The sequence below is a fragment of the Homo sapiens genome, chromosome 4 (assembly GCF_000001405.40).
Source record: "Homo sapiens chromosome 4, GRCh38.p14 Primary Assembly".
NCBI classification, from domain to species: Eukaryota; Metazoa; Chordata; class Mammalia; order Primates; family Hominidae; genus Homo; species Homo sapiens.
In genome coordinates this window covers 7,840,889-7,866,190 of record NC_000004.12, presented here as the reverse complement: position 1 = coordinate 7,866,190, position 25,302 = coordinate 7,840,889, and the positions used below count along the sequence as shown (strand labels likewise).

General features: G+C 47.2%; 1 protein-coding gene across 9 annotated transcripts in view, besides 4 other annotated features; it reads left to right on the top strand.

The window, feature by feature from the left end:
- Positions 1-25,302, top strand: part of AFAP1 (actin filament associated protein 1) — a 181,149-nt gene that overhangs the window by 73,671 nt on the left and 82,176 nt on the right. For all 9 annotated transcript variants that reach the window (NM_001371091.1, XM_006713909.4, XM_047416061.1 and 6 more), the window contains 2 exons: positions 10,617-10,725; positions 22,841-23,052. In NM_001371091.1, coding sequence (NP_001358020.1) covers positions 10,617-10,725; positions 22,841-23,052 — 321 coding nt within the window. The remainder of the gene's footprint in view (positions 1-10,616; positions 10,726-22,840; positions 23,053-25,302) is intronic.
- Positions 12,778-13,278: an enhancer, noted in NCBI's record as "H3K4me1 hESC enhancer chr4:7854640-7855140 (GRCh37/hg19 assembly coordinates)". NCBI's record gives its function as "activates a minimal SCP1, AML or CMV promoter by ChIP-STARR-seq in naive H9 embryonic stem cells {active_cell/tissue: H9 hESC(naive)}" and the evidence as "EXISTENCE:reporter gene assay evidence [ECO:0000049][PMID:30033119]".
- Positions 15,472-15,973: an enhancer, noted in NCBI's record as "H3K4me1 hESC enhancer chr4:7851945-7852446 (GRCh37/hg19 assembly coordinates)". NCBI's record gives its function as "activates a minimal SCP1, AML or CMV promoter by ChIP-STARR-seq in primed H9 embryonic stem cells {active_cell/tissue: H9 hESC(primed)}" and the evidence as "EXISTENCE:reporter gene assay evidence [ECO:0000049][PMID:30033119]".
- Positions 21,727-21,776: a silencer, noted in NCBI's record as "silent region_15253". NCBI's record gives its function as "represses an Ori minimal core promoter by ATAC-STARR-seq in GM12878 lymphoblastoid cells {active_cell/tissue: GM12878}" and the evidence as "EXISTENCE:reporter gene assay evidence [ECO:0000049][PMID:35858748]".
- Positions 22,264-22,444: a silencer, noted in NCBI's record as "fragment chr4:7845474-7845654 (GRCh37/hg19 assembly coordinates)". NCBI's record gives its function as "represses an EF-1alpha promoter that drives an FKBP-Casp9 reporter gene in an ReSE screen in phorbol 12-myristate 13-acetate-treated (for megakaryocytic differentiation) K562 erythroleukemia cells {active_cell/tissue: K562(+PMA)}" and the evidence as "EXISTENCE:reporter gene assay evidence [ECO:0000049][PMID:32094911]".

Sequence of the window (25,302 nt, the reverse complement as noted above, 5' to 3'; positions counted from 1 at the left end):
GCGCAGTGGCTCACACTTGTAATCCCAGCACTTTGGGAGGCCGAGGTGGGTGGATCACCTGAGGTCAGGAGTTTGAGACCAGCCTGGCCACCATGGTGAAACCCCCGTCTCTACTAAAAATAAAAAATTGGCTGGGCATGGTGTTGGGTGCCCGTAGTCCCAGCTACTTGGGAGGCTGAGGCAGGAGAATCGCTTGAACCCAGGAGGCGGAGGTTGCAGTGAGCTGAGATCGAGCCACTGCACTCCAGCCTGCGTAACAAGACCGAGACTCCGTCTCAAAAAATAAAACAAAACAAAACAAGACCACAGAACCAAACCAAAACAAAAGAAGCAGCTGGAAGAGTAGCAGTGGTCCTGTGACTGTCATGGACTCTTCTCTAGTGCTGCTGCAGTGCCCTCCCACCTGCTTTGGACCAAACTGCATGTCCCTCACGTGCCAGCTGGGTGTAGCAGAGGGATGCCAGTTTCAGATGAAGAGTTCTCATGACTAGTCAGCATTTTCTACCATTTTCAACCATCGAATGATTGATTCACTTCTGTGTTGTCTTCTTCCAGTATAGTTTATTACTTATTCATCCTCTTTCTCCCTCTCTCGTCCTCTCTCCTTGTCTCTTGCTTTCCCTGGCCTATGATCTGCTCCTGCCTTTGGTAGGAAAATGGTTATGGCAAACTAGTCTGGGTTAAGGTATTTATGAGGCCCTTCTACTGGCATAGTCAGAACTGGTCAATCAAAAATGTTGGTTAAGGTGAGAAAATTTTAAAAAGGTATACATTACATGTGCTTTAAATATGTTAAATTTAAGTGAATGATTTAAGTGTTGGAATTACAGGCGTGAGCTACCATACCCAGCCTAAATGAATCCTTTTTGAGTGACAGTTTGCCAGTGGGTAATTTCTCCCTCCTGGTGCTTAATGCATGAGTATCAAGGTAATTTTTCCCTGGACACCTAAGCCATGCTTAATTGCTATAAAAATCACTGTGTTTTGATGTAGGACCGAGGGCCACATTCTTTGGTGTGTTGCTACCTATGGGGTTCTGTTTGTCTTTTCTGTGTAATCTATACATATGATTACTTTGTAATTTCCAGTTTTTGTAACACAATCTGAGTTTAGAATTCCTAGAATTTTATGAATGTTGCCCTGTCTTTTTTTTTAATAGTTGATGTCCCCACATCTAATTGTATAGCTTTTTAAGGTACTTTTGTTTGTTTAAGAGTCAGGTCCTTACTTTGTTGCCCAGGCTGGAGTGCAGTGGCACGATCATAGCTCACTGCAGCCTTGAACTCCTGTGCTCAAGCAATCCTCCTGCCTAGGCCTCCCAAACTGCTGGAATTACAGGCATGAGCCACTGTGCCCTGCCTAGTTTGTTTTGACTGAACCTTTCTAAAGCATCTCAGAGAATCATCAACTCGGCTTTGGCACTCATTTTTTTCATTGGTTTATTATGTAATGGTCAAATTAAAGTAAATAATTATGGTAATAAGAATTTAAAGAACAAAGCTGACTCTTGGTAAATACACAACTCAACAGGTGGGACAGTTTTTGTGGGCACCCCAGGGAGGAGCCTGTTGCCCTGAATGTTTAGCCTTTTAGGGATTTCAGGGTATTTTACAGAGGGAATAGAGAACAGCTGTCAACTCCATGAGTCAAGGAGGTAGAGCTTTGGTTAAGCTAGCTGGACTGTAGTTTTCTGATAGTTTTTTAGTGAATTTGGGATTCAGCAAGTCAGCTAGTCACTAAGTACATTAAGTTTGCCTTAATGAATTGGCTTTGGGCTAGTTGGCCGTTTCGCTATTGATGAATTGACTTTCAAGAGAATTTGCTTATTGTGGGGTCAGGACGGGACTGGTAGGCAGCTGTGCCAGGCAGAGGGTGTGCTGTAAATTAAAGCAAAAGCCAGAAAAACAGCCAGCTATACTAGGAGCGTTGCAGGTAGCTCTGCCTTGCTGGGTCATGGGATTTGGGCAGGAAATCCACACATGAGGCCAGAATTGTCTGCAGGGGTTAAATTACAAAGGACCTGTGGGTTGTGATGAGAAGTTGGGAATGTGTTGTGATGGGAAGTTGGGAATGGGTTGTGATGGGAAGTTGGGAATGGGTTGTGATGGGAAGTTGGGAATGGGTTGTGATGGGAAGTTGGGAATGGGTTGTGATGGGAAGTTGGGAATGGGTTGTGATGGGAAGTTGGGAAGGTGTTGTGATGGGAAGTTGGGAATGGGTTGTGATGGGAAGTTGGGAATGGGTTGTGAAAGCAACAGTAAGCCATTGAAGGGCTCTTTTAGTGTACAATTTACTTCAGCTAGGTTCTATTTCCCATGCGTTGAAGCACAACCGCACTTTATTTTTACCTCTTTTGTGGCATGAATTGAATATTGCCTTTTGTTATAGTGTTTTGTATTATAAACTCTTTAACAAATAAGGTTGTCTTTTACTTTTTTATCCTTTTTAGTGTCTAATAGTGCTTCATACCTTTATTCAATAGTTAATAAAGCCTGAGATGCCCTGTGTGACATGGTGCGTCTTTCCACCTGGCTAATGTGTCTTTGGAAGTGCTTGCAGGAGAGTAGATGTGTGTGTAGTGTGGAAATCTTGAACTTCTGAATTTTTGAAGTCACACGTGTGGGATGTAGCATGTTTCACACTCTGCTTTATCTCCCTGGCTTTTCAAGGGGAGACTCGGATAGGCTAAAATATGCATCTATTCAAAAAACTGTGGAAAGAGCTGTGCTTTTATTTTCTTTCCTTCTTTCTTTCTTTCGTTCTTTCGTTCTTTCTTGGCAGTCTCGCTTTGTCGCCCAGGCTGGAGTGCAGTGGCACGATCTGGGCTCACTGCAGCCTCCGCTTCCCTGGTTCATGCAATTTTCCCACCTCACCCTCCCAAGTAGCTGAGACTACAGGCACGCACCATCATGTCTGGCTAATTTTTTTGTCTTTTTAATAGAGACAGGGTTTTCACCATGTTGCCCAGGCTGCTTTCAAACTCCTGGGCTCAGGCAGTCCACACACCCCGGCCTCCTAAACTGTTAGGATTATAGGCGTGAGCCACCGCGCCTGGCTTTTCAAAAGATTGTTCTCTTTGTTTCAAGGGCGACCTGTGCAGCTATCAGACTGATTGCATTTCGTTTGCAGCAAGTGCTAAAAGAGTGTTTGAGAAGGCGAGCCCCAGGTCCTGGGAAATGGATCCCATCTGTGCTGACGCTGGCTGCCGTGACCCACTGCCCAGCTCGCAAGCAGCCGGCTTGCTAAAGGGGTCTAAATGGATAAGCGCCGTTTGTGCTGCTCCCCCACCCTTCTTCAGCATAGCATTGTGTCTAAACATAGGGGTATCTCAGATCTTCATGGCTCAGGAGAAAAAAGGGCAAGCTAGACTCCTTTTGGGGCTGTCATGCAGTACATACAACTCTAGATCAAGGCATTTTCTGGACATATTTTCATTTGGTAGACAGCCTGAGGTTATATCATGTTTCAAGGGATAGCAGAGGGAGCAACTTAATTCGCTGGTATTTTAGGGCCAGAACTTATGTAAATGTGATGCCTTTTTATGCCAGCAGATTATAGCCAAGTTTCCTTTTATTGTGGTAAAATATCCGTAACATAAAATTTACCATTTTAACCATTTTTAGTGTACGGTTCAATACACTTAAAATGACAGTTAAGTATCATGAAGTACATTCGTAGTATTGTGGAGCCATCACCACCATCCAGCTCCATACTTTATCCCAAATGGAAACTCTGTCCCCCTTAAACACTAACTTCCCATTCTCCCGCCGCCGGCGCCCCCCCCCCCCCCCGCCCCCAACTCCTGCCCCTGGCATCCACTGTCTCTAGGAAATCGTGAAGTTTTTTGTTTGTTTTTTTGAGACAGAGTCTCATTCTGTTGCTTAGGCTGGAGTGCAGTGGCATGATCACAGCTCACTGCAGCCTTGACCTCCCAGGCTCAAGTGATCCTCTTACCTCAGCCTCCCGAGTAGCTGGGACTACAGATGTACACCATCACACCTGGCTAATTTTTGTATTTTTTGTGGAGACGGGGTTTTTCCATGTTTCCCAGGCTAGTCTTGAACTCCTGGGCTTAAGTGATTCTCCCACCTCACCCTCCTGAGTAGCGGGGACTACAGATGTGAGCCACCACACTCGGCCTGAAACAGTGAAGTTTTGATACCAGGCGTTACCATCTTCCCATCGATGCATTTCGCCCTTTCTCAGGTACCTTCACAGTAACCTTGTTATCTCTGTTTCACAGATGACATTACGAGGCTCTTTGAGATTATGTGACAACGTTGGCTCTTTTACCAGTTGTAGAGCTGGGGCTAAAGCCCACGATTTAAAACAAGAAAATCATTCATTTTCCTGTGGCGTAAGATGTGACCCTTTGGTGGATGTGAGCCATCTTGTTTGCCTTTTTCATCATCTTTGAGGAATCTCAGAGTTTTGGCTCATGTATAATCCCAGTGGCATCTTTGTTTTCAATTCGCTTTATGGCTGGATTCCACTCTATCCTGTTTCCGCCCCTGGTGGGCTGCCTCGCCTTCCATCTGGATGCCTGCCTGCTGATGGAAAAGGGAGGGGAGATGACATGTCCCCACAGGGCTTTCATTCTTTGTCATGCATAAGTAAAAGGAGAGAAACTTTAAGAAAATATGTGAGACAATCTTCCCAGTGTTTACTCAAGCGCTGTGTGGAATGCAGACTTAACAGTGATCACAATGGAATGGGGTGTAATTTGGATAAAGACTTGCATTTTGCCAAGAAGAGTATGTACTCAGAATTCTTAGTGTTAGGATTGAAACCATTTTCGCAGCTTAAACTATAAAATTTTATTATCCTCAGTTTCCTTCAGCGGCATGGATTCCTTCCTGCAGATGAGCAGCAAGCGGCACAGGAAGTTTAGATGATGGCATGAATGCCGTAGGGTGCTGCTGAAATACATCAGTTAGAAAAGGGTTTCGCCAATATGTGATAGAAATGGAACTGGAGCCCTGATTTTCTTATTTCAAATTATATATTTTTTGGCTGTTACTCCTAACAGATTTTAATCCCTCTTACCAGAAAAACAGAATCTGGAGGTGTCACTGTAGATATAAAATTAAAGTCAGAAAGGGATTCCAAATCCTAGGTGTATGTATTTCTCAGCTAAGATCAGCTCTCGTCATTTATTGGTGTTTCCCTGGAAAGGACTAAGCAACAGATGGGGCAGGGGTAGGGAAGAAGGTGGGGAGCAGCAGACAGAGGGCGGAGTGCCAGCCACGAGGCGAGGCGAGCGAGGCAGGCGAGGCAAGCGGCAGTGGAAGGCATGAAGGTGCTGGGTCTGCCTTGGGCGCGGGGAGGAGAGTCTTCCTAAGAAATGATGCGTCTGCTTGTGCTGTGTGATATGGGAGCAAAAGGTCTGGACCCGTGCAGTCTTGGTTGTTCGGTTTGTTGGTTCCCTCCTTACATCTTGTCCGCTCAGCCCGCTGTGTGGTAGGTGCTGAGGCTGCAGGAGCAACGGATGCCGTGCAGTTGTGCCACAGTTTCCAGGTCAGCAGGCCGTGCCCACTCTGGCTGACTTCTGTGGATAAGCATGTCCAGCCCCGGGCAGTGTCTTTAATCTCTTGAGCCTCAGTTTCCTCATCTGTGAAATCACAATTGAGAGGCTGACATCTGACTGTTATTTTCTGAACGAGAGAAAATATGTATCAAGCATCCCAGGACAGTGCCTGACACCTTGTAGGCAAGTGGTCAGTACAGGTTGAACATCCTGAATCTGGAAATTGGAAATGGTCCAATGAACATGTCCTTTGAGCATCATGTCAGTGCTAAAAAAAGTTTTGGATTTTGGAGCATTCTAGATTTTGGATTTTTGGATTTGGGATGCTCAAGCAGTAAGTACATAATGCACATATTCCAAATCCACCCCCCTGTCACACATATACACACACACACACAAAATCAAAATCAGAAACATTTCTGGTCCCAAGCATTTTGCAGAAGAGATCCTCAACCTGTAGTAATAACAATAATAATTATTACTGTATTTATAACATATCATTTTACAAACAATTATTTATTTGAGATAGCATCTCACTCTGTCACCCAGGCTGGAGTGCAATGCATGATCATGGCTCACTGCAGCCTCGACTTCCCGGGCTCGAGCAGTCCTCCCACCTCAGCCTCCCTAGCAGTTGGGACTATAGGCATGCACCATCATGCCTGGCTAATTTTTGTATTTTTTTGTAGAGATGGGATTTTGCCATGTTGCCCAGGCTGGTCTTGAGCTCCTGGCTTTAAGCAGTCCTCCCACCATGGCTATTTTTATTATTATTGGAAAGAGAATTCTCTGTGAATTCTTTTTGTTTAAAGAATTCACTTTTCCTTAAAGTAGCAAAGACAGATACCAATGGGCTTTCCTTTCCAAAAGACGAGAATTAAAATTACGGCCAGTACTGTAAGCCCACGAGCCTAGGTTATATTACTGTGGTGTTGTGTAAGTACTAGTTTTCTCTAATGCAAGATGGAGACCTTACAGCAGAAATGTACGATTCCTGAAGGTAGATAAGATCTTCTAAACTAAAAGTTTAGGAGCTTTTACTTAAGTATTAATTTGAGGGAGAAATATTTTAGTGAATTTGAGAATTACCTAGTCACTGGCACAGTGTCAGTTCTTTCTTATTTCTAGGTCACAGCAGGGGTGAAGATCAGTCATTCTCTGAGGAGGGTAGTTTCTCATACTTCTTTTTAAGTGTCTAAAGATGCCATGGTGGTTAGACTTTGGACCCTTGTTTTATTTTTTTTCGAGACAGAGTCTTGCTCTGTTGCCCAGGCTGGAGTGCAGTGTGGCGATCTTGGCTCACTGCAGCCTCTGCCTCCCGGGTTTAAGCAATTCTCCTGCCTCAGCCTCCTGAGTAGCTGGGATTACAGGTGCCCACCACCACACTCGGCTAATTTTTGTATTCTTAGTAGAGATGGGGTTTCATCATGTTGGCCAGGCTGGTCTTGAACTCTTGACCTTGTGATCTGCCTGCCTCCGTCTCCCAAAGTGCTGGGATTACAGGCGTGAGCCACCGCGCCCAACCCAAGGACCCTTGTTGCCTTAGCTTGTGTTTTGTGAGTGGTAGCCCAGGAAACAGTGGGGACAGATGCAGGCCGTGTTAGGGGCATGTGCACGGACTGGGTCTCTCCTGATAGTGACGGAGAGTTGAGTGATTCCACAGTGGTGTGTGGGGCTGCCATTCAGTGGTACATTTGAGGGACTTGCTCTGCCCAGAGATTCGCACGTCCTTTATCCTTTGGGAGGACATGGGGTCAGCTCTCAATGGAATTTTGGAAGAGGTAAAGTTGGCTTTGTTGTCTGTGGACCTGTAACTTTATAAGAATGCTGGAATTGGACTCTCAGAGCTGGGGTGGGCACTGAAGGTTGTTCTGATGCGATGCCCTTGTTTTAGGTGAGGGAATGGGCACGTGGAGTCTTGGCAAGGTTGCAGAGGTGCAGGAACAAGCCAGCCTTGGATGTGAGTGGCTGTGCGCCTGCGTCTTCCTCCCTTTGCCAGACTCTCTTATTTCCTGCCTGGCCTCTGCTTTCCCGTGGCCCCTATTGGAAACCTACCTTCCCTGTTGTGTACCTTTTACAATTCCATTAATTGTGCTCTCAGTGAATTCTTATTGGAAAGGATTGGAAAGACTTGATCCTCTAAAAGCAGTGGTGGTGACAGTTTGCTCATCATTTCGGCCCTTCTCCTGTTTGACTTTAACAAGCCTGAAGTGTCTGAAACCCCTGTGGCCGATTTCAAGGATAAGTGGTATTTGAGAGTGGAGTGATTCTTTAGCAGTATTATTTTCTGAGGGGGTATTATTTCAAAGTGAAAGTAGTTTTATTTTTTAAAATGATTTTTAAAATGACAACTATGCAGAAAAGTCAAGCAGTCCAGATTGCATGTAGAAAGAGACAACCGCTATGAACACTTTTGGTGAATGACCTTCTGCCTCTGTGTATATGTAAGCACAAACACTCACCTTTTATGTAAAGGGATCATAGTACACCTTTGTTCTTTGATGCAGCAGTATCTCGTAGAGGTTAATAAAGTAAATGGCTGTACACATGCACTGGCCTTTTAAATGTTTGTCTGTGGATGTAGCAGTACATCTGAGCATTCTTCTCTTGAAAATTTAGATTGTTTTTAGATTTTACTAAACAAACTTTTATTGAACATCCTTATGTGGTTTTTTTCATATGTGGTTTTTGACATATGTTTCTAGAAGTGGAATTATTGGATCTAAGGGGATACGCAAAAGGTTGTGCCAAGTACATGACCACCAATAGGGTTTGAAAGTGTCTGCTCAGAACCCCATCGATTCAGAGAGTAAGTTCCTTGGGGCACTGAGGAAAGGAGTCTGACCTGTACTAGTTCACAAACGTTTGTTTGATTCAGCTATTTGTCGTGCTTTTCCAGGACATGAATAGTTTGTTTGACCATGCTAAAAGGAATTTGGAATACCCTGCGTTTCAGGAATAAAAGATACTCAGTGAATCAAGCAGCTGTTTTCCAAAAGCAGCCAGCAGAGATTTTAACTTGGATGTGGACTCCTGTACAGACCTTGCCTGGTGCTGGGCCCCATGTATCAGGTTCTGTTGCGTCTGTAGGAAGATATGAAGGACCTGGAGATGGTCCAGCCTAACGCCACACTAAGATGACAGTTTGGGAAGCCAGCCTTCTGATAGGAGTGCAAAGGAATTGAAGTTATTTAGCCTCGGGAACAAGGACGGGGGGCGGGAGGGAGGTAACTCTCTGTAAGTCCCTGAAGGAATATTGTGCAGATGGTCTGGAGTGAGTTCTCTTCTTCATCTGGTGAGAGGAAGGAGTGGGTTGAATCTGCAGTGGGTGATTAGTCATTCACAAAGGACTTCTTGGCTTCAGAGATGAGTTACATAGAAAGCGATGGAGTCGTACTTTCTGGAGAGTTTACATTAAAAAAACGCAACAGCCCCATACTTTCAATAGAACCTTTTTCTACTTGGAACTGTAACTGAGTAGATTTCAATTTGGGGCCTCTGCTCTGTTCCATTCCTTGTGAACATACCTCTTCCCAGGTTGTTTACAGAATCTAGGTAGTGGGAAATTGTTGCATGCTATTCATAGGAAAAAGGGGAGAGAGAAAGAATATGAATATTAAAAAGGTCTTTAGCAGGCAGACGTGGTGTTTGAAAACTCCAGCTGGCAGTTACTAGTGTCTGATTTTGAGCAGATTTAGATTCTGAGCTTCAACTTCTGTATCTGTAAAATATAAGGTAATAGAATACATGCCCTGAAGGATTCCTGCATGGATTGATTGACGTTCATGTGGCAAGTGCAGAAGTGTCTAGCACAGTGCTGGGCAGATTGCAGATGCTGGGCGAATGCTGGCTTTCCTGCCACTCAGCCACCTCTTTTGGCAGAAGGACCAGTGAGAGACACACCAGCAAGTCCTGTAGATGGTCTTAGGAGGGAGAGGCTGGGGTGGATTAGAGCCGTCAGGAACATTTAAGAAAAGAGGGGACTTGAGCACAGTCCTGAAGGCCAGGTGGGACGTAGGTTGTCCCGAGGCGCGGAGTGAGCCCCCAGCTCGTCCATATTCTAAGGCTATGGCTTCACAACCAGAGAGAGTTTCGGTCTCTGAGTTTGTTAAAAAATTGTGATGGGCCAGGTGCGGTGGCTGACACCTGTAATCCCAGCACTTTGGGAGGCCAAGGCGGGCTGATCACGAGGTCAGGAGTTCGAGACCATCCTGGCTAAACGGTGAAACCCTGTCTCTACTAAAAATACAAAAATTAGCCGGGTGTGGTGGTGGGCGCCTGTAGTCCCAGTTACTTGGGAGGCTGAGGCAGGAGAATGGCATGAACCCAGGAGGCAGAGCTTGCAGTGAGCAGAGATTGCGCCACTGCACTCCAGCCTGGGTGACAAAGCAAGACTCCAACTCAAAAAAAAAAATTGTGACATGATTGGTTTTAATAAGGAGTGGATTCCATCTCTAGAGAATAATTTCTACTTTGTTTTAGAAAGTGGCTCCCAGGTGATTTGCTTTTTTAAAGTTTTCCTAGCACACAATAGGGATATGGTGAGAATGTGGGCAAGCCTCACTCGTGCACTCAGCCAGTGTGGCTCACCAACTCACTCTGTGATGAGTGCTGGGTGCGCCTGAGCATCTGTGTCCCAGGAGCCCACCGCCTGTGGCAGGGCCATGGAGTCCCAGAGTCTGCGTCTGAGGCCTGCGAGGGTTGGTGTGTGTGGAGTGTGTGGGGATGAAGGGGAGTGCAGACACTGTCTCAGACCCCTGGGGCAGCATCTGAACAGGCCCAGTCCTGCGTGGGGGAAGGGGCATTCTGTGTCGTGGATGCTCCAGTGAGACTGCTGCACACACCGAACCTGGAGATTTGGTGTGAACTGGACGGCATGTGGCCAGGGCTGGGGCAAGAATGTGCGCAGGAAAGTAAGAGAGACACATCAGGGCTGGCCTTCCAAGCCTCTTCGTAGGATGAGGTTCTCTTTTGCCGAAGACTTTACAAAGGAAAGAGGAAAAGACTGGCCACACCTGTTAATTGGAAATCCAGAATTTCCTTCTAATGGTCATGCTAATTTCTGTGTCACTTTTCCTTTCTTCCTCAGCCTCCTGACAGTGGGCCTCCACCATTGCCAACATCCTCCCTCCCAGAAGGTTATTATGAGGAAGCTGTGCCGCTGAGCCCCGGAAAAGCTCCGGAATACATCACATCAAGTGAGTGGCCAGCCCTGCCCAGCCATGCTGCCTTTGTGATTGGCAGGACTGTTGCAGAGCCTGTCCCCTTTCTGGGTAGGAAGGGCAACAGGGTATTATAAAACACTGTGGGCCAAGTACTTTTTGAACCCAAAGAGATTGTCAGTACAGGAAAGGTTTTGAGAAGGACACCGAGTGCCTCACACACAAGCCTCTCTTCCGATTGCTGTCTTCCTTGTGACTCAGAGGTAGTGAAAGCTTATTGCTGTGGCAACAGGTATCAGCAGTGCGGAAGAGAAATGGCTCTTTGTGGTATATTTTTTGGGTGCGTGCTACAGCCCCCACTTCCTTAGTCTTTGATGCTCTTGGGCTGCACCCATTCTGCCACGATTAAAGCAGTTTCCACCAGGTTGGCTGTTGGGCCAGAAATAATTGGGTACAGCACAAACAGGCGTCTCTGTCATAGACTTTTGGTTTTTTCTTTTTTGGGGGTACAGGTTCTATTAGATGATTTTTGCCTAAGTTCTGGTTCTCCTGGCCCCAGTTAGTGGCCTGCTGGTAGCACTCAGAAGTACCTGTTTGTTACTACCCAGCTTCAAGTGCGGATGAAGCATGACATGATGTTGAGTCTCCGGAATTCATTTCTGAATTGGTGGCTCTATGTCTCCTTTCAGTATCTGTCAGGCGGGGGGCTACCATCTCATAAGAAAGTTGAATACCTGAATGTATGTCAACTAATGGAATCCAGCTTGCTTTTTTTAAAAAGAAAGGTAGATAAGTGGATAGTGACAGAGCAGTTGCTGACTGTACTCAGGAGGCTCCTGGTGCATTGATCTTCTTTGCGTGGTCTCCGGCCTTCGCTGTCTCCTAAGGAAAATGCTCTCCCTTTCCCCAAAGTTGTTATACTGTTACCTGCCACATAGAGACTTTGCATTTCAGATCTTTCTCTCCTTGGCAGTCTACGAGCGCGGCTATTCCACCAAAGCAGGATCCGTCTTGATGATTGGAAGGAGGTTGTTATGGGAGATTCCCCCGTTGGCATGCTTCTCTGAGTGTGGAGAAGGGCTGTGGAGAAGCCAGGCCAGCTGGACTGCGTGCCCCTGAGGGTGCCAGCTGCTCCCGCTTGCCTGTCTCCTCAGCTTCTGGAGCAGTCGGGGCACAGACTGGGCCAAATGTCAATACTTAGTTGTGCTCTGGATGAGAAAAGGGATAGTTCTGATAAGGTGGTCATGGATTTTTCGATTTTGAGAATAATTTACCAACTCTTTAAGAAGACAGTAGATTAATTAGAAAACAAATTAAATGCCTCGATATAACTCAGAACGTCATTGGGTTCCTTTATTTTTAATGGCAGTGAGTAAAGACAAGTATGTTTTCTTATTGAGGGTATTTTCTAGCATTTGGAACGTTTGTCTCTGGCCCTTCCCCTGCAGTGTACTTTCAAGGCTGGAAACAGAGTGATTGTTTGATTTTGGGGGCTGTTGGTCATTTTTATTCTGAGGAGCTGCACGTAGCTGGCAGGTCACGGCCCCTTCAGTGGGGCTGTTCCTTAGCCGCTGACTCCAGAAGAAGAGGTGACTGAGGAACTCACGCCTGGGGAATGAGGAGACAGCAGTGATGGCGCACAGTGGCTTCTCCAATCACACGTCTGCCGTGGGACTCTCAGTTGATGGCCCCAGGACACAGCCGCCCCTCCCTTGAAGAGCAACAGCCATGGGTTGACTTGTCAGCTCAGTTAAGGATTGTACCACCTTCAGTTAGATACGAACTTTGAGATGGTTTTGTGAAACCTGCGTGGGTTATGGTCTTATCGGAGAAGCCAAAGCATTTTGAATGTCATGGAGGGAAGAGTTTATTGAAGGAATTGAGGGCGTGTGCAGTTGTGAGAACTTCTTCCCTGGAAGAAGCACGGGCAGTTTCTGCTGTGTCTGGTCGGGCCGGCAGCCGGGAAGAAAGCTGGATGAGGACTGGGGAAGAGGAGGGACAGACAGACGGGAGCCTGCGTCTCTCCTGATGGCACAGGTGACCAGCAACAGCCCACGTGAGCTGCGGCAGTCCCTGTCCCCGCGTCCACCTGCAGAGTCTGGGGCCACTGCTCCCCTCTGCCCTATCACTCCCAGATTTCTCTCAGGGCCACCCTAGCCCAGAATCATCTAAGAAAGGGAATTTTGGGAAGTGTGATTCCAGTCTTGCTAGGCTGATACAGTAGAAAACTACCACAGTTTATCTTTGGTCAACTTGGCACCCATGCAGAGTCTGGGGCCACTGCTCCCCTCTGCCCTATCACTCCCAGATTTCTCTCAGGGCCACCCTAGCCCAGAATCATCTAAGAAAGGGAATTTTGGGAAGTGTGATTCCAGCCTTGCTAGGCTGATACAGTAGAAAACTACCACAGTTTATCTTTGGTCACCTTGGCACCCATGCATACCTCTTCTAGCCACACTGAGTTTCCAAGTAGAGACGAGCAGCGCACGCTTGAGCCTAACGTGATTCACCATTGCCCGGGTGACGGGAAATTCCCCAACTCCCCGCAGAGGAGACAGAGCCCCTTTGTCCAACATTTGGGTCACATCCATTCTCTTCTAGAGCCTGTAACCTAAATTCCGAGATATTCATACAAGGTTGACTCCTGTTAGCCCTTCTTATGTGAGATGGTGGGGGCCTGGGAGAGGGGGAAGAAGAATTCGTTTCTGTGTACACAGTTATATTCTTATCAAAACAAGGAAGAAAAGCCTGTAACAGGTTCCGTCTCCACACCTGGTCAGTGTTCATGGCTAGAATTTACCACCTCCATCTACTGCCCCTTTTGTATTCCCGGTGCCCCCAGCAAACCCCTTGGTTGGTCGTGGTTTTTTCTTGGTGGGTGATTCAGCTTCCTTTCTTGAAAGGTCTGGACCTTCAGTAGCACTTCTGTATTGGATGGTCATGACTTTTCATTAACTTTAATCAGAGGGTGTGAGAACACAGAGGGGCACTCAGGGGGTCTTCCAGGTCCCCTGCGTGTTCTTCCTTACTCCCACTGTGGGGTAGTGGCTTCCTCACAATTGGGGTCCGTCACCTCAGCCACTGCAGGAGCCACTTCTTTGCCTGTTACTGACACGAGGAGCCCAGTGTGGCCAGGTGGCAGCTTCTGCTTCCAGTTTAATGAAACCATTGCCATATCTTGCCCTTAGACCAGTGCAGTCCAGCATTTTAGGGAAGGAAAGCAAGCATTTTGTTAGTGGGTCACTGGGGGTAATAGTGGGAGGAGGCTCCTCTCGTTTCACCCCTTGATTCTTGGGCTGTGAATCTGGGCTGTGGGAGAAACAGTACCACCAAGTCAGAACATATAGTGCCAGAAGATACTCTGAAGTCTCTTGCCCCCAAGCCTACAAGGTATCACCAGTTGGCTGGCACTATAATTGGATATTCAAAAAAAATTATTTTGACCTATTGGGTAAGTGACTTCAGCGTGCTGGAGTCTGTGGCAAGATCAGTGAATTTCCTGAGCACAGACCCATTATTGTGTACTTGATTTGCTGTAAATGAGTTCCCTGGTCAGAAGCAATGGTGTGGGGATCCCATCATGGAGAACAGGACATTCTTTAAGGCCCTGTGGACCTAGAAGGCAAATTTATTTTAATGATCTCTTCATGATGGAAGTGGACCAGTGATAACAACCTGCCATTAGGTGCCAGCTGATATCCCAGGGATGGTGTCAGGGCGTGGGGATGGGGTAAGGAGGTTGATGTTGCCGTCTGCTGTTGGCAGGTAGGGTACTCGGAAGTACCTGGAGTCGGATTTTCCATGAGTGAAGTCCGTGTTGCTGAGTTCATGCATAACCTCTATTCCTGCCATCATGTCCACATATACGTGAGCCCATTTGGACAAGAAGTCTGGGGAATGAGGATGACTGATGCAGCTACAGTGGGTCGTGGTATTTACCCGAGTATCAAGATCCTCTTCTGCTGAGGTCTGTTTACATCATGTGCCCATTTGTGAAGGTCTGTTGACAGCATCTTCTGCAGACCAGTTGTTTGTTACCTGTTTTTTAATCATATTCCTCTCCATTGTCGATCATCCAACCAAACCATTAGGCAGTGTTCATGAATGGTTGTTGAGGGAAGAGGCAGCGCACAGGACTAAGGGCTGCTTGCTCGCTCACATCTTCTGGAGTGGATGGAGCCTGCTGTCACACACCCGCTTTGACTTGAGGATGGAGTGCCCCTTCATGGGTCAGAGAGACTGTGGGCCATGCAGGGCGGCTCAGGTTTCCTCTTCTCTTGGTGTCTCATGGTGAAGCATTACGTCTCTGCCAGGGCTTCACTAGCTGAAAGTAGTTCCTCAGAAGTAAGATGGTTCTCTCTAAAGGATGGTGTAGCCGTGCTCCAAACTCCCAGAGGTCCACCCTCGCCTTGCCTGGGTGAGCCTGCCAGAGTGTCCATACCAACCTGCGGAGCAGTGAGGGTTTCATCAGAACAGCAGAAATTACAATGGGGATAGAAGACTTATTCTAGATTAGCCGTGCACACTTGCGGGAGCTGTTGAAGTCAGTGGTTGGCTGTGGCCTGAGCACCTGGTAGGACCTGCCACCTGGAAGGAAAGCTGGCCGTGAAGCGCAGGAGGTCAAGGGTAAACGATAATCCATGAGGTCAAACTGCAACTCATCTATGACTTCCTCCAGACTCAGTGACACAAGTGACCCGCACAAGATGCGGATGCCCTTGGCTCTGGAGTTGTACAAAACACCGAAGCGGGAGAGCCTGCAGCAAGCAGCTGGGGGACCTGAGCCCATGGCTGCCCCACACCAGCAGGGTGCGCAACATGCCACAGCTTCTGCAGGGCCTGGCGCCCTGTGCTGGCCTCGGAGATGGGCCTGCTGTTTCCTTCTCTCCTTCCAGGTTCCTCAGTTTCTCCTGTAGCCAGACCATGCAGAGCAATGGAAGTGGCGTTCCAGTTAGCTACGGTGACATAGCATAAACTCACTACAACGCTCATTGGCTGTTTTGGTTTCAGACACAGATTTCAGTTTTATTTTCAGCTTTCTAATTCCTCTGTTTTGCCCTCTTCCCTCTCCCTCCTCCAGGGGGATTGGTTGAAATGGCATTTCTGATGTTATGGGGTGTGGGTGTGTGTGTAAACGAAATACATTATGTAATGCTGCTGGTGTTTGGAGATGAGCACTCACTTCCTCAGGCCCCGATGTTGGATGGTCATGTGCACAGGTAGTTACACCTGCTTCTAGAGTTTCAGGTTCACAGGGAGCTATCTTGTGTCCTTCATTTTATCCTCATAGTAACTCTCAGAGAGACAAGATTATCTTAAAGACACTGAGTCTCAAATAAGTTCAATGACTTACTATATTTCTCTAGAGTGAGATCTCGGACTTAGACTGGCCATTTTCAAACATAAGTCAGATCTCTGCTCTATTCACAACCTTCTCGTGGCATCCCATCCCACTCAAAAGTTAAAGCCAAAGTTCGTCTGAGGGCTTCTCTCCTCGTCCCTTTACCTACCACGTGTTCCTCCCCTGCTCACTGCCCTCCACCCCCCATCCCCAGCCCCTTTTACATGGTCACAGCAGCATGAAAGAGTGGAGAATCTGTGATGCAGAAGGAGAGTCAGTGTTCAAAACTTTGTGACCCTCTTGCATTTTGTATTTTGTAGCTCTTGTATTTTGATCCTGTAAGAATCGCAAGTAGAAAAGTGTTGAATGATATTGCCAAAGTGAGGATGTGAGATGGAGAACCTTTCTCTGCACTCCAAATGCCTTGCCTTCCACAGAGTTGTGTGGGGCAGCTGGAAGGATCGAGGGGAAAGCCCTTTGTGAGTCTGAAAACGCTAGACACAGCTGCAAAGCACCATCATCATTCTTATGAAATGACATTGAGACCTGAAAGAGCAGCTCCAGAAAGTAGCCATACTTCATCATTGTGTTACTTGGACACATCCCTACTCTCCAATAGGCCGTTTGTCATCTCTTTCCCCCTCACCCGAGTGTGAGAACAAAGAGGGCCAAGGCTTTTGTCTGTTTTGCATCTGGCAGGTAATATGTGCTCAATAAACACTTACTGAGTAGATGAAGGCTGTGCTTTTTCCACTCCTTTCCTTTGTTGATTTTTCTATGCTGAATTTCAAGTTTTTTTTTTAATTGTGAAACATCTAATATTGTGCTTGCTCAGCCTTGTGCCCAGAACTAGAACTCCAAGAGAAATGAGGGCCACAGCTCCTGCCCTAGAGGAGCCGTGTTTTCTGCCAGCCTCTCACTCTCCCCTCCCTCTGAAAAGTGAGGTCAGAAACCAAGAGAGACGCCTGGTGGGTCTCCTGCTTATGGCCTCAGCAAAGCCAGTGCATTGAAACGAAAAGGCAGGGTCTGCGTGGCGCTCCAGTCCCCTTGAGAACACTTGCTTGTCACTTAACCTTTGTCTGTGGTTCCTGTGCCTTTTAAAGATAGATTCTTGTGTCATTTGGGTGGAGAGAAGGCATGGCCCCTTGGAAAGTCGTGACGCCCTAACCGCCTTCTCAGGGCACCGTTGCTGGCTCTGATGTGCCTGATGTGCAGTGTGTGTGGTATTGCCGTTGCTTTTATGCAGTTTTTTTCTGGAATAAACATTTTACAGTTAAAAATAGTAGTTTACTGGAGTGTTCCTTAATTTCATCAGAATGACACTATGATAGCAATTCCTGCCCATGAAACTAGTTTCTGGTGAAGAAGAGTGTGGTGGTGAATTTGAGGTGTGAAGTTGACTAGATGAGGGGGACCTAGGGAACTGGTGAAGCATTATTTTTGGGTGTATCTGTGAGGTGTTTCCAGAGGACACTGGACACTGGCATGTGGGTCTGAGTGGTCCACACGGGGAAGACCCACCCTCAGTGTAGGCAGTACCATCCGATAGGCTGGAGGCCCAGAGAGAACAGAAACAGAGGAGAGGCACGTGGGCCTCTCTTTTCCGTGAGCTGGGAGACTTCTTTCTCCCTTGGACGTTAGAACTTCAGGCATCCCGGCCTTGGGACCCCAGGACTTATACCAGCACCACTGCCCTCCCGCACTTCCCCACCTCCTGGATTCTCAGACCTCCCTCTCAGACGGAGAGTTTCACCATCTGCCTCCCTGGTGCTGAGGCTTTTGGACTCGGACTGAGCCACGCTTTGCGCATCCCAGGGTCTCCAGGTGGTAGACAGCTTTTTGTGAGATTTCTCAGTCTCCATAATAGCATGAGCCATCCCCCCTAATAAATCACCTCCCTTCCTTCCCTCCCTCCCTTCCTCCCTCCATCCGTCCCTCCCTCCCTCCCTCCCTCCCTTGCTTCCTTCCTTCCTTCCTCCCTCCCTCCCTCCCTCCCACTTACCCATCTACCTGTTCACTCCCTCACTCACTCCCTTCCTTCCTTCCTTCCTTCCTTCCTTCTTTCCTTCCCTCCCTCCTTCCGTCCACCCACTCACCCATCCACCTGTCCATCCATCCATACATCGATCCATCTGTCTGCCTGAGCATCTGTCTATCCATCCATGTATCTAATCTGTCAATCTCCTATGGCTTCTGTTTCCCTAGAGAGTCCTGACTGATACAAAGAGCATTTCCTAATCAACAACGTCCTTTCAACAGAGTTCACACGGTTCTGTTGTTGGCCCTTTGGTCTGCTGCCTTACTCTACACAAAGTGTAGACATCTGAATGGGTCGGGCCTGATGGTATCTAATCAATGCCCCACCCCGAGTACCCCTGAAATAGAACCTTCCTGTTCCTCTCTCTGTGAATACCTGTACCACTTACTACAAGACTAGAAGGCAATCAGGAATTCTTTTCCCTGCTCCCCATTTCTGAGTTGTTCATAATTTTTCACAAAACGTTTATGACCTCTTAATGTAATCCAAAACCCCAGGCCTCCAGACGGTGAACTTCTCAAAGTCCTAGACCACAGCTCTGGCTGGTGGAGCTACCAAGTGATATCCTGAGCAAGAGTCTCTTCTCTTGATTGGGTCATCACTAAGCATACTTTCCAGAGAGTTCTTTTGATTGGGTCATCGCTAAGCATACTTTCCGGAGAGTTCTCTTGATTGGGTCATTGCTAAGCATACTTTCCGGAGAGTTCTCTTGATTGGGACACTGCTAAGCATACTTTCCGGAGAGTTCTCTTGATTAGGGACACTGCTAAGCATACTTTCTGGAGAGTTCTCTTGATTGGACCATCACTAAGCATACTTTCCGGAGAGTTCTCTTGATTGGGTCATTGCTAAGCATACTTTCTGGAGAGTTCTCTTGATTGGGTCATCGCTAAGCATACTTTCTGGAGAGTTCTCTTGATTGGGACACGGCTAAGCATACTTTCCAGAGAGTTCTCTTGTTTGGGTCATTGCTAAGCATACTTTCTGGAGAGTTCATTATCCTTTGTGCTCGGTGACTTCTGGCTGTTCCTTGTTTGCTGCTAAGTTGGCTGGTTTTTCTAAAAATGTCATTTCTACACTCTTAGAAGAAGGCAAGACAATGAACTTAATTGTCTTTTTCATAACTGTAGACCTCAACTCATTCCCAAGGATGAAAGGGCTACTAGAACATAGTTTACTTTTTCCGTTTAAAATACAAAGGCACGGGTTCATGTTTCAGTCCTGTCATTCACCAAGCCTATGCTCCTGGATGAATCTCGTAGTCTTCGAGACTCATTCTTCCTTTTCTCTGAATAAGACTAATGTCTTATGTGCCCCATCTCCAAGTGGCTGGGAGGTCCGGTGAGATGGTGGATGTGAGAAACCTTTGTAAATTTGGAGCAGGCCCGGCTTTTCATGGCTTTATCCTAGCACCTGCTGTGTAAATATAGATAGTTTTTAAAAAGTGCCTGGCATAGAGTAGAGCTCACAACATATTTGTGGAATGAGTGAAATTAAAGGTAGTTTTCCCATTTATAACTAACTGACTCATTAAATCTTTACTTCATTATTTACTGAACTTGATGTTCCAGCAAGTGGGCCGAGCCCTGAGGGCTGTGTGGTCCTCCAGGCCGCTATGAGAATCATCTTTCTGAAATAAAGCTAGGATGATGTCCATGGCCCCTCCAGAACCCCTCAGTTTACGTTGGATCGTAGCACAGCACGCGATCTGCGGTCTGGCCTCTGCCCATCTTCTCGTTCCATATTCCATCGTTTCCTTCCACATACCCTTGTTCTAGCCACGCTTACTGTTTTAAAAACCCTCTTGTTGTAAAATACATTTACCAGAAAGTGCATAAAATATGAGTATATGCTCAGTGATTTATCATAAAGAAGCCATCTGTGTAACCACCATTCAAGTCAAGGGTAGAACACTGTCAGTCCCTGAAGCCCCCTGCTCCTTCCTAGCACAGCCAAGCGTAACCACGGACGTCGTTTTGTGGCCTCGCTCACGTCCTGTCCAGAAGCTGAAAGGACCCCCTGTGCCTTGGCAGCATTTGATGCTTGTCAGTGCTTTCGCTCATCGCGTTTCTCCTTCTCAGACTTTTTCCTTTGGTTGGCAATAGCTTGTCTCAAGGCCTGGCTCTAAAGTGACATCTTCTGTGCTGTCTTCCCTGTGCCCCTGCATATGCTGCCCCCTCGTGCCCGGCTCCATGACAGCTTGCATTTTGCCCTAGATTGTAAAGATCTTGCCCCCCCCACCCCTGTGCCGTCCAGCAGAGCTTTGGCAGCAGGGGGAGTGTTTTTCCTCTGGGCCCCGGTATCCAGTTGACATGTGGGACTTGAATGAAAATTGAAATGTAAGTAACCCCCTGTGGCTGCCCTGTGAAGCAGGGGGTGCTTGGTGAGTGTAGGTGCTGATGGGTGTGTGGGGTGTGTTGGAGGGGGATGTGGAGCCAGTGAGAACGACCCACCTGTGGGCGGAGGGTGATGTGAAGCAGGGGCAGAAGCGGGGCAGAGACCTGTGACCCAGACCAGGGTGTTCTGTTCGCCTCTCACCTTTGAGTCAGCCCCTCATTGCATCCCTCGTGGCCTCTGAGCTGCTCCTGTCTCTTACCTCGTCCCTTCTTCAGCCCATTCCTAGTGCCATTGCCAAAGTTACCTCTTCAATCTCCTTAGCTTTTGCCTAAAATCCTTCCTGGACTTAAAGTAATAATAATAATAATAATAATCTTGTTCTGTTGCCCAGGCTGGAGTGTAGTGGCAGGATCACAGCTCACTGCAGCCTCGGACTCCTGGGCTCAAGTGATCCTCCTGCCTCAGCCTCTTGAGTAGTTGGGACCACAGGCGTGCCCTACCATGCCTGGCTAGCCTTTTACTTTTTATAGAGATAGGGTCTCGCTATGTTGCCCAGGCTTGGTCTTGAACTCCTGGGCTCAAGTGATTCGCCCGCCTTGGCCTCCCAAAGGGCTGCGATTACAGGTGTGAGCCACCACACCTGGCCTCCTGGACAACTTTTCATTGTTGAAAATTCAACTTAAACTCTAAATCTTTCTGTTCCTCCCTGCTAGTATTGAATCTTTGCAAGGAAATTATAAGGCAAACATGATTACTGAGTACAACTTAAACTCCAGTTTCCAGCAAGTAAAAATATGAGTTCTCTTCTGTGCAGACTCTGCCATTTTGCACAGTATTGCAACCGCATTGGCCATTGTTCTCCTTATCTCTCATTCATCTATCATTTAGGTGTTCATCCCTTAAGTATGTTTTGAAAAAGAAACGTGTTCCAGATGATTCTGGGGGCTGAGGGGAATTTGGAGATGAATCAGATCCTGTCTCAGGGAGCTTATCATCCAGCGCAGCTGAAAGTAATGAGAGGAATGACGGGCGCTGGTATTTAGGAAGACCTTTTACTACGCCATTGGCCCTTCCAAGGGCTTTGCCAGTTTAATTTAAAGACATTTAACGCGCTTCCTTCTACAGTTATTTGGGCACTTGCCCTGTGCCAGGTACTTTGTTAGGTGCCGGGGAGATCACCGCCAACGAGATGGTCTCCTTTTCTTCAGGGGGCTTACAGCCTGCAGTGGGGGCCAGTGTTGAGGTGTGCTGCGATCCGCTCTGTGTTGGGCCGTGTGGAGGCTCAGAGGAAGGGCATTTGACCTAGTGTATTAGTCTGCTCATGCCGCAGTGACAAATGCCACCACTGGGGGGCTTCCACAGCAGAAGCTCGTCAGTCCGGGAGTCCAGGTTAGACTGCCAGCACGGTTGGGTTCTGGCGAGGCCTCTTCCTGGCTTTTAGATGGCTAAGTCCTCACTGTGTCCTCACATGGTGGGGACAGAGCTCTCTCTCTCTCTCTCTCTTCTTAAAAGACCACCAGACCTATGGGATTAGGACCCCACCCTTAGGACCTCATTTAACTTTAGTAACCTCCTAAAAGTCCTATCTCTACATATAGTCATATGGTTAGAGCTTCAACACTTGAATTTCCGGGAGGGACACAGTTCAGTCCATAGCACCCAGCTTTGGTGATTCAGGGAGGGTTTGCTGGAGGTGTCAGGAAGTTAAACCCCAAAAGATGAGAGCATTTACCAGGCAAAGGCAGGAGGGCGAGTGGATGGACAGGAAGCTTGTTAGAGGGCGTGGCACATGCAGAGACCCTGAGGTGGCAGAGGGGTGATGTGTTTGGGAAACTGTCAGTCACAGCAGTATACATGCCAGTGTGTCACAGAGTGAGGTGGGCACCATTAGAAGGACAGGTGTACATTTCTGTCAAAGTTCCAAGGATGCCCCAGAAGGGAGAGGTGGCCCTTGGTTGCATATTGAGTGTCAGAGATGTTGTGCACGTGGGGATGCCAGCAGGGAGAAGCAGATTGCAGCCTTGGGAGGTCTTTGACATAAAGGTGCGGACGTGGGAGGGCAAGGGACCTCCATGGGCAAGAGTTCTGTATGGCGGAACACTCTGCAGAATGAGGATGGCGCTCGTCCTGCAAGAATGTGGTGAGGAGTCAGTGTCGGGTCAGCGTGGGGTCCCGTCCATATGAAACAGTCTAGAAACAGTTTTTATAAACACAGAATTTGTAGGCACTTCACCTTGTCATTGAGTTTCCACTGCCCAAGTCTTAGCATTGTTTTTTTATTTTTGTTTTTGTTTTTGTTTTTTCCCTTAAGGAGCAGAGGTCCCTTTCTCATTCAGTTACTTGGTGATTAAAAATAAGAGGACGTGCTCTTGAGCCCACGGGTAAACTTCAAGGTAAAGAAGTCCTTTTTACCAGTGTATGTTTATTTTTTACAGATTATGATTCCGATGCGATGAGCAGCTCTTATGAGTCGTATGATGAAGAGGAGGAGGATGGGAAGGGGAAGAAAACCCGGCACCAGTGGCCCTCCGAGGAGGCCTCCATGGACCTGGTCAAGGACGCCAAAATCTGCGCCTTCCTGCTGCGGAAGAAGCGGTTCGGCCAGTGGACCAAGTTGCTCTGCGTCATCAAAGACACCAAACTGCTGGTAAGACATTTGGAATCGCTTGCATTTTTTGTAAGATTGCTGCACTCAGAAGCCATGGCGTTTATATCCAGTCACCATTAACATCAGCTGTGCAGGAAGGGCAGCACTCAGGTGTCAGCCAGGTGCCCTGAGCTAGCCGCAGTACCATGCCAGGGGCCCCCACATGCCATCAGGGAGCACTCGCCCGTGTTGTGTGTTCAAGGTTGCCGGTTTCCCAGCTCCAAAAGCAGCCAGCGAACAAAATCATTCCCATTCCCGGGCAGGGCCTGTGGTTTGCGTCTGTGGAAATGCACAAGATTTTAACTTGCCAGGAGTTGCAAGATGGATTTTCTCATTTGTAGTGAGTCAGTGGATTCCTCAAAGCCAGCTCATAGAAGTGGGACGGGGAGCAGCCAGGAAAGGAAATTCTTCTGGAAAGCTTGGGGCCAATTCCCATTTTTTTTTTTTTTTTTAAATTTGAGAGGCAGAGCAGGAAGACAAGTAAGGAACAGAGAAGCAGGGAAGGCGAGAACCTGGACCTTGCTGTGGGATTATTCCAGTGGAGACCCCAGCAGGAAGGCTGCATTCCGGGAGGACGGTGTGGCGTCCCTTCCTCCTCCCCACTCCCTCCCCACCTTCCTTCTTTTCCTCCTGCCTTTTTTTTAGAAACCATGGTTGGTTATTAGAATTATGAACTTTAAAGTATGTTTTTGCCTTTTGTTCTTCCTTCAGATTAACCTTGGGGGAATCATTGCTCAAAATTATATCATTAATTAGAAAACAAGAATTTATGTTTCTGTAGAGCACTCTAGTGGAGCAGATAATCCTTTTTTTATCTTTTTTTTTTTTTTTTTTTTTGTAAATCCAGGTTTCATCTTTGAATTGTGGGAATCTTTTTTTGTTTTACTAAGTTCCTAGGATATTATATATTTTTTAATGTTTTTGTTCAGTTTTTTAAAACAGAGTACATATTTTTTCCACAAATGTGGCCTGAATTTCTCCCAGATTTAGAATGTGCCAAAAATGATGCCATGGGGAATATTAAAAAATGAAAAAAAGAAGATTAATGTGGTCCTTATTTCCAGTCTGATATAATGGCTACAAGATGTGGATATATTATATGAATGTTTTAGAAATACATAATCAACTTTCATTTAAAAGAGAAGCTTCCAAATCCAGTGAGGGAAGCTTCGCGGTTGTGTGTAGGGATTAGCAGTTTGGGGTTCTGAGTCCCTGGTCCCTCTCCCCTGCCCTCCTCTCCCTCACCCCCTAACTTCTTAACTTCTTCCCCCCTCCCCTGCTTTGTCTTCCATTTGGGCCCCTGCCAGCTTTCCCCCTTCAAAACCAGGATGATAATACCTACTACTAAGAGTAGTTGTGAATAAGAAGAAATTAGTGGAAAAGCAGGTGAAAGCACTGTTTGGTCAAATGCAGAATCAAAGTTATTGACTTTTATTACGAAGCTTTTTTCCTTTCAAAAATGACCTATCATTCAGGGCCCAGATGACCCCCATTGGCATAAAAAATAATGAACAGTGATCAAAGCAAATACTTTCCAAGTTTAAACAGCACAGAAAAGGAAAAGCCATGTTCTTCCCCTAAATGTTCCCAGTCTGTCTTCCCACAAGTTACCGCCATTAACAGCTTTTTTTCCATCTCCTTCTGGAACTTGTTCCTTCTGTGCTCAGGTAGCTCTGGGGTGGGTACTGTGATGTACCTAGATTCCCGCTTCAGGACTGAAGGTTGCATTTCCTTGGCAGGGCTGGTGAGCCCACCTCGGGGACTGTCTGCATTGAAGAGGGGCCTAGAGCCCAAGGCAGAGCTCCCTCCCCAGGGGTCTGCATTCAGTGTGTGTGTGTGGGAGGTATAGACCCAGACTCACTGGGCAGCTGTGATGGGGCCTTCCAGCCCCAGAGCTCTCATGGTGGTATCCCTGAGGCCACTCAAACTGGGCGTCTTTGCCCACCCCACTCCTCCCTCTCCTTGCTCCTGGTGTTGTCTTCAGGACGCCCATTCATAAACCTCCTGCATGCTGCTGCCTGCTATAGAGGCGGCTTCCCAGGAAATCCCGCCTGCTAGGACTGCCAGATTGCAGCCTGTCCCTATTGCTGATTGCATATCTCTCGTGAGGCATTTAACTTAAGGAAGAATATGTTATAAAGTTCCCTTTCTGAAATGATAAGCGTTTGAGATGTGGGGTTTGCTAATTATCTGATCTGATCACTATACATTTTCTGTATCAAAGCATCACTCTGTACCCCATAAATATGT